Here is a 7,473-nt window from a genome sequence, read left to right as displayed (position 1 = left end):
TCAAATTCCTGGACTCAAATGATCCTCCTGCCTCGGCCTCCCAAAGTGCTGGGATTACAGGTGTGAGCCACCACGCCCAGCCTTGACTCTCACGTTTTAGATAAGTTGTTGTTCTCACATTGATTCCCCTTTCTTTCAATGGTGGCTGCCTAAGAGCCATGTCTGTGCTAAGGGAACTCATTCCTCAGCCATAGCAGAAAGAGCTCAGCTTGGGTCAGGGGTCCCTCAGGATCAGTCATCTGTGCTGGCGGGGGGATCATGGGACAACATGGCAGGTCTCTTGCACCCCTGTCATTGGAAGCAGTGGTATGTAGCTGCAGTGGCCTGGGATGACAATATGTCCACTGTACACAGAGATAAACACAATGACCAAAAACCACACCTAATATTTTATTAGGCACCAGACAATGACTGCTAGTATTTTATGTATAGTATTTCCCAACTTTTCCTCTTGCAACTTTGCCTATTAAAATAAATGGGATTATGAAATGTACCTATATTACACATATATATTCTGCTTCGAGGCATACATCCCCCAACCTCCGCGTCACTTGGAAATGGAGGCACGCTAACTCAGGGTTTGGGGGGGATTAGAGTTTGGCTGTTGGAAGGTGAGAGTATAAACTAGTGGTTTGAATCAGCTCACTTTCGCCATCCTTCAGCTCCAGTCGCATCTCCTCCAGGCAGCCTTCCAGGTGGCCCTTTTCTCAGACCCTTTATGGATGCTGGACACCATGGCTTCAACGTGGAGCCAAAGAGCAGGAGGCTAATCATGGAGTGTCCATGCACAGCACGGCACACAGGATTAAGTGCTTGGTAAATAACCAGTCCTTTACCCCTCCCTTCTTCCATCTCACCTTCTCCTCCCTCTGTCCCTCTCTCCGGCTCTTATTTCTTTTCAGAGGAAGAGAACAAAAAGAGGGACAGGCAGCCGCCAGGGAAGCTGCTGGGAGACCCCCTTCTTGGCCTGCGACTCCCCTCAGCTGTGCCCTTCTGGGTACTTGCAGAGTCATGCTTCCCATGAGCTCCTGGCGCTACTACCAGGAACTCCCTGCAGGGCCACAGGCAAGAGTTGGCAGGGTCTTTGTGTTGTCAGAGCCCTAAACACTTTCTCCTTTCTGCTTGTGCCCGTCATTGAATTTTGTGCTGAAGAAGACTGGAGACTTGAGGTTGTGGGCCTTGGTTCTAAATAGCCGGCTCCCCTCTGGGTTGGCTTGGGCTCTCCCAGGGCCCCTTCACACCTCCTTCCTGGCCCAGGCCCTCACCCATTGCAGACCCACCTCGGGGAAGGAGTAGGAGATGAAGAGCAGGCAGTGAGCTGATCAATGGAGAGGGTGGGGTTTCAGGGTTTGTTTGGGCAAATTTGGTGACAGAGGGATCTAGTGTGATAAAAAATCCTAGTCTGGGCTTCAGGGACTTGCATTTTAATTCTGACTCTGACCTCACTGTCCTGGTGACATTTGTGGAGTGCCTTCCCTCTGAGCTGTAGGCTTCCTTTCTCTGCAGAAAGGGGCAAGCCTATCTTGTGTTTTGTAACAGTCTGACAGTCTGACACCACGTCCCATCCTTTTACTTTCCTAGGCCACCTGGAATCTGCCAGAAGTCTCTCTGCAGAAAAGGACTCCCAGGGAAAGGGCCTGAGGGGTTCTCAGGCAGCCCTGCTTCTTTTACTCTTGGTTGTCATGATTTTGCTGTCCTGTGGTAAGTCCTGGGCTCCCCATTGCTAGATTCTGTGGAGAAGCACTTTAGCCACGGCATCAATGGATCTGCTTGAGTCCTGGCTATGGCTGCTTTCTATCAAGGTATGACTCTCCCCAGGCCTCAGTTTTCTTACCTACACAATGAAAATAATGGTATTGAGTGCACTGGATTATTTTGAGGATTACATGCAATAATGCAGTGCCTTGCACATGGTCAACCCATGATGAATGCTCTTACCATCATCATCACCATCAACATCATCATCACCATCATTATCATCATCATCATCATCATCATCATCAATAATCATTGCCATTGTTGTTGTTGTTATTTACCAGCTCCTCTCTGTCACTCTGTCACAAGGAAAGAGAGCCCCCAGGGTTTGAGTAGGCAGCGATGCAAGTGGCCAGCTATTCCTGGTTTAAGCCCTCTCTGTGCACACCCAAAGAGAGAACTCCTAACAAAAAATCCAGCTTCAATGAACAAGTCCTGCAGCATGCATTGTGTCAGGGACCCCAGGGGATCACCAGCATACACACTTATAGGCTGCTGTAAGGATAAAAAATGTCCCACCTACACAGCACTTGACCCAGGAACTGCCCACAGCCCTCAGTGAATCGCAGCCTGTAGTACTGTTGTTACTGCCTCTAGCATTGGTTGCATCTGAGACTACACTGAAGCATGATGAGCTGCAGGGTCAGACAGATCTAGGTGTGGACTGGATGTGGACTTCACGCGAATCTCTCAACCACTCGGACCCTCAGTTTTCTCATCTGTATAATGAGACTAGTATCCCCCTTTTCGCGGGGTTGTTAGAATTAAATGATCATAGCACAGTTAGGAGGTTTGCATGAACTGTAAAGACTGGGATACGCCAAGTCCATATTGTGTGTTCAGTACCAATGGATTCCTTCCATGACCCTACCCACCCTTCCCAGACTCCCCTCTTTTCCTTGGGGGCTTTTGTCTGGGCTCCACGCCAGTGAAGAGGTGAAAAGAGTCTTGATATGCATTCTTTCTCTGCCTCCTGTCCCAAATGCCTTCAGCTCCAGGCAGCAGTTGGCCCCCCTGTTGAACACACCAGGCAGCCGAGAGACAGAAAATCTCATAAGGAAGTCCCACGCTTCTGCACCACATGTTTGTTTGTTTTTTAATTAAAAAGAAAATAAGAAAACAAACAACACTTCCCAGGTACTCACAAAAACAAGGAGAAATCCCAAGAGATCACACAGAGACCCCCTGTGAGGGTGGGCCCAAGGCCCCTCCCTTGAGGCCATTGTTTTCTCAGACAAACATCCACCTCTCCTGGGCTAAAAAAAAGGAAGCGCTTATCCAACCTTGTTTCTCTTGGAAGATTCAGCCATCTCCAGCTCACTGGTCCATGACATGCACACAGGAAACTGGGCTTTACAAGATTTTACAGATGGGCAGTGCTGGGGTGGGAGGATTTAGGGGTACACACCACTCCTCTCACTGATCCCTGGATCTGCTCAAGGTTTCTGGAGGGCTGGGGAGCAATGCTGTCTCTCCATGGGGATGCATCGCACATGTCAGATGCATTGTTCTGCAGGGCCACCAGGGCTGAGTTTCCTGCACTAAGGCCACTGGTGACTTCCTTCCTTGAGTGGTAGCAAAAGGAGTGTCTGCAGGTAAGTTGGGGCAAGCAGAATAAGGACTTGGACCAGGACAAGTTGTGCCTAGGCTGGCACTAAATGTTGGTGGACAGAAGGCAGTGGAGAGATTTCGCTATATTTGCCATAGCAAGCTTTTCACACTGACCTTCCTTGGCTACTCAACCAATTCTCCATCCCGGCCTCCAATCTCTGAGGATCACATAGACCTGGATTTGACTCTTAGCTCTGCCATTTACTAGTTTATATAACCCTGGAAATGTTACTTAACCTCCTTGAGCCTCAGTTCCTCATCTGTTCAATGGGGTGGTTTGTGAACCTTACGGGGTGACTGTCAATAGTAAGTGTGGCCAGTACAGAGCCTAGTACAGCACCTGCCACTGTTAGTGCTGCTCTGCAGGCACCAGTATTTCTATTGCAAAGTTGGTGAGTCTGTGTGTGGGCCTATGTGTGATAAACAGAAGCCTTAACCAGTGTTCTAGAAAGAGGGTGGATTCCTCGGAGGCTCCTGCTTATGTCTGGGCAGTTCCGCAGTCATGGACCACCGTGGGGCTGGCATGGAGGACCTCTACTGCTTTTCTCTCTGGCATGTCCACCTGGCTCAGGAGCTGTTCTGTACCTAGACCTCGGTGCCCTCCCTGGGGTAGAGGACACCACTGGTGTTGACACTGTTGTAGAAGTGAGGGCTGAATTGGCTGAGCACAGATCCTCCATAGCTGAGCATGTTGGTGGGCATGGGGTTCGCCCAGTCACCCCCACCGCTGTGGTTGCTGAGGTTGGTGAGCGGGGAGAAGGAGTTGAAGGTCAGTGAGTTCTGCCCCGTCTTGTCACTGGGCTCAGGGCTCAGTCCTGGTGTGACCAAGGGGTGGCTCGTGGGGCTCCCCCCGCTCACATAGGCTGTCATAGAGGAAAGGAAGCTGTTAAGGCAAGGGGCGCCTGATGGGGGAGGGGAGGGCCGCTTCTCTGGGGAGCTGGTGGTGCCCCCTGGTGAGGCTCCATCCAAGATGTCCTGAGGCTCCGTGGTCTTGGGGCTGTCCACCGGGAGACTGCTCTCTGTCTTCTCTAAGGCCAAGGAGGCTGTGCTAGAGGAAACATCTGATTTTCTCTTCCTTTTCCTGCGGAAATTTCCATTGTCGAACATTTTCTCACAGTTGGGGTCCAGGGTCCAGTAATTCCCTTTGCCTGATACAAAAGTGAAAGGGGGTAAATAGAGAGGTGGACAAAATGCTTTGCTTCTGTTCCTCCTTATTGTCATAAACTAAAAGCCAAGGTGACAGATGCAGGAAGACAGAGACCGACAGGCAGGGACTGAGAAATGGAGGAATTCCATCAACTGATGAACCACACCACCTCCATCTTTAATTAAGCAGCCCATGACAGGGCCCTTTGGGACTGCAGCCGAGAGGCATGAGCATTAAGGAGTTTGCAATGTAGGTCTCTTTAAGAAGGATGAAGAACTGGGAGCAGGGATGCTGAGGGATTTGGGGGTTGGGGGTTGGAGGGCTTTCAATGCTGAAGGAAAAGAAGACTCAGGAAAACTCTGGGACTCCCTAATAGCCGTAGGCTTGGAGTCTGAAGACAGACTTGAGTCCTGGCTTTGCTCCTCACTGACTGAGGGGCTTTGGAAGAACCTGTTTTCTAGTCTGAAAAGTGGGCCCATTGCCCCTGTCTTCCTCAGGCCCACTGAGAAAGGATCCACACCGGATATGGAAAGGAGCGTTGCAGCTGGGAGGTACCTTCCCGAGGGAAGGCCTGAACTCTTCCTGCTACCGTCTCTCAGCCTGAGGGTGATGGCAGTCCTTGGACAGGACACTTGCCCTCTTCTGGGGACAAACAGGCCTGGTGTTTGCCACCCTCAAATGGGGCAGAGTTGGGGTTCCTTTGAGCTATACCTTGGCTTCCTGCGGTGGAACAAAAGTGGACTTTAATTCTGGGAAATGGATGCATGAGTATTTAATACATGCCTCTCTGCAGGTCTCTGAGTTTTAGAAATGCATCGTTGAAAAGGAAAAGCTCACAATTTCTGATGTTAGAGAAAACTGAGTTCAAATTCAAGCTCCATCACTATCACTTCATTCTGTGTCACCTCTGAGTGTTATTTTCCTAATCTGTAGAATGGGTTTCATAAGAGCTACCCTGCAGGGGTGTCTTCGGGTTAAAGGAGGTTACCTAAGTAGAAACAAGGCAGGCAGCAAAATGGGCCATTAGTGGCTGTTTAACCCAGGTCAGATCCTCTTCCTGGCAGTCTTGGGATGCCCTTGGGCTTTGGTTGGTCCAGTCATTCATTCACCAAAGACTTTCTATGTGCTGGGTGCTGGAGATGCAGATGAATCGTAATTACTGCAGGCGATTAAGCGCTTGATAACACCTAAAACCTTGTGTACATTATCTCATCACCTCCACTGCAGCCTGCAAAGCAGATGCTGTCACTATCCCTGGTTTTCCGATGAGGGAACTGAGGCTCTGAGGTCTAACCTGCCAGAGGTCACTGACTGGGCAGGAGCACAGCCAGGGCTGAAACCCAAATCTTCCCCCAGGCCCATGCTCTCCTTCACTGCTGAGCTCCCCTCTGTCCTGCCTGGTAGCATCCCCCAGTCTTGGGGGGCACAGCCCTAGTCAGAACTTTCTAGAATGGGGTCTTGGGGAGGAAGGAAGTGAGTCTTCCTTGGGGACACCCCCCACACTCAAAGCCTCCTTACCCGGGTCGTCCTCGTCGCGGGGCACCTTCTTGAAGCAGTCGTTGAGCGACAGGTTGTGGCGGATGGAGTTCTGCCAGCCGGCCTTGCTCTTGTTGTAGAAGGGGAAGTTGTCGGCCACGTACTGGTAGATCTGGCTGAGAGTGAGGCGCTTGTCGGGTGCCCCGTGGATGGCCATGGCGATGAGAGCCGAGTAGGAATAGGGTGGCCGCACCAGCTTCATCAGCTCCTCCTGCGAGGGGATGGGCAGCCAGCCCAGGTCGCTCCCCCCAAGCCCCGACACGCTGGGCAGCAGCGGCCTCTGCACTCCATAGGCCTGGGGCAGGAAGGGGCTGGCGTTGGGGCCGGGCAGGTAGGGTGGCGGGGTCATGGTGGGCCCGTTGAACCAGAGGTAGGGGTTGGGGGTGGCCCCATACTCGCCGCCCCCCTCGAAGGAGGGCCGCTGAGGGCTGGGCACGCCCTGTGGGTGGAAGAAGTTCTCATAGTAGAGGTTCATCTCGGGGGGCTCCTGGCCGATGCTGGGGAACTGGGGGCTGCAGCGAGGTGGGGAGGGCGCCGGCAGGTCGAAGGAGCTCATGCTGGGGCTGGGCTGGCCGGAGCCACCTGCCTGGCACCTGCACCCCGGAGCTGCCCCTGACAGGTGCTCAGCAGGCCCGGCCTCCCACTTATACCCCTAGGGCTTGGCCGGGCGGCCCCACCCAGGGGCGGCCACCTGCCTGTGGATCCCAGCCCAGGGCCCGCCCTCCCTCAGCCTCCAGCCCACGGGGAGGGGACTTTCCCGCTGGCGCCTCAGGTCCCCACTAATGACATGCTAGACGGCTTACCAGAGCTGACACGCAGCGCAGCGAGAACGCCCCTCTATCCTCTCTCCCGGCTTTCTCTCCTGTCTTTTCTCACCATCCTCATGATTCCCTTCTTCTTTTTCTCCTTTATTCTGTCTTACTTCTCTCATTTTTTTTTCTGTCCTTCCCTTTCGTCACATTTTTCTACCCACCTCGGTTTCCTTCTCTCTCTCCCTCCTCTCCTCTCTGCATCTCATTCTCTGTTTCTTTCCTTCTTATTTTCTTTCCTCCCTTCTGCTCTGAACTGTGTTTCTTTTCTATGAACTGATCTGGCCACATCACAGCTGCTCATTCCCGTTCTCTCTCTCTCTCTCTCTCTCTCCCCCTCCCTCTCTCCCTCTCTCCCTCTGTCTCTAGGCTTCCAGTTCTTCTTTCCACTTCCATCTCTCGCTTCCATTCTCATTGTCTTCCCGGCTTCTCCCCTTTCTCCTTCTCTTTCACTCTGTCCCTTTCTCTCCACCTCTCATTTTCTCTGCGCCTCTCTTCCCATCCCCTCATTCTCCCTCCTCTTCCCCCCAATGTCCCCTCATTCTCTAACCAACTGCCCCAGCCGGGACTGGGTGGGACACTTTATCAGAAACCCTGTTTCTTGGTCTTTTGAGG

The 7,473-nt window shown here is 52.3% G+C and overlaps 1 protein-coding gene across 3 annotated transcripts, besides 1 other annotated feature; it reads right to left on the bottom strand.

Moving 5' to 3' along the window:
• Positions 2,573-3,126: an enhancer, noted in NCBI's record as "NANOG hESC enhancer chr5:169536441-169536994 (GRCh37/hg19 assembly coordinates)". NCBI's record gives its function as "activates a minimal SCP1, AML or CMV promoter by ChIP-STARR-seq in naive H9 embryonic stem cells {active_cell/tissue: H9 hESC(naive)}" and the evidence as "EXISTENCE:reporter gene assay evidence [ECO:0000049][PMID:30033119]".
• Positions 2,826-6,666, bottom strand: FOXI1 (forkhead box I1). Of its 3 annotated transcripts, XR_941092.2 has the most exons (3): positions 6,032-6,666; positions 5,502-5,646; positions 2,829-4,514 (listed from the first exon to the last, which is right to left on the bottom strand). XR_941092.2 is itself a non-coding variant. In NM_144769.4 (2 exons), the coding sequence occupies exons 1-2, from the start codon at positions 6,603-6,605 to the stop codon at positions 3,952-3,954; spliced, it is 852 nt and encodes a 283-aa protein (NP_658982.1). In that variant the 5' UTR covers positions 6,606-6,666; the 3' UTR covers positions 2,826-3,951. The 3 variants fall into 3 exon arrangements, 2 of the variants coding, with proteins under 2 accessions (NP_658982.1, NP_036320.2); NM_144769.4 differs by lacking the exon at positions 5,502-5,646 and having other exon boundaries at positions 2,826-4,229; NM_012188.5 differs by lacking the exon at positions 5,502-5,646.

This window comes from Homo sapiens, chromosome 5, assembly GCF_000001405.40.
Source record: "Homo sapiens chromosome 5, GRCh38.p14 Primary Assembly".
Classification (NCBI taxonomy): Eukaryota; Metazoa; Chordata; class Mammalia; order Primates; family Hominidae; genus Homo; species Homo sapiens.
This window is presented reverse-complemented; position numbering and strand designations above follow the sequence as displayed.

What these genes read in the sequence shown, in the direction of transcription:
- FOXI1 (NM_012188.5), bottom strand. Translation starts at nt 6,605, where the DNA reads ATGAGCTCCTTCGACCTGCCGGCGCCCTCCCCACCTCGCTGCAGCCCC. An exon ending in CCGCGACGAGGACGACCCGG is followed by an intron (nt 4,515 to 6,031) that starts GTAAGGAGGCTT and finishes CTTTTGTATCAG; the next exon opens with GCAAAGGGAATTACTGGACC.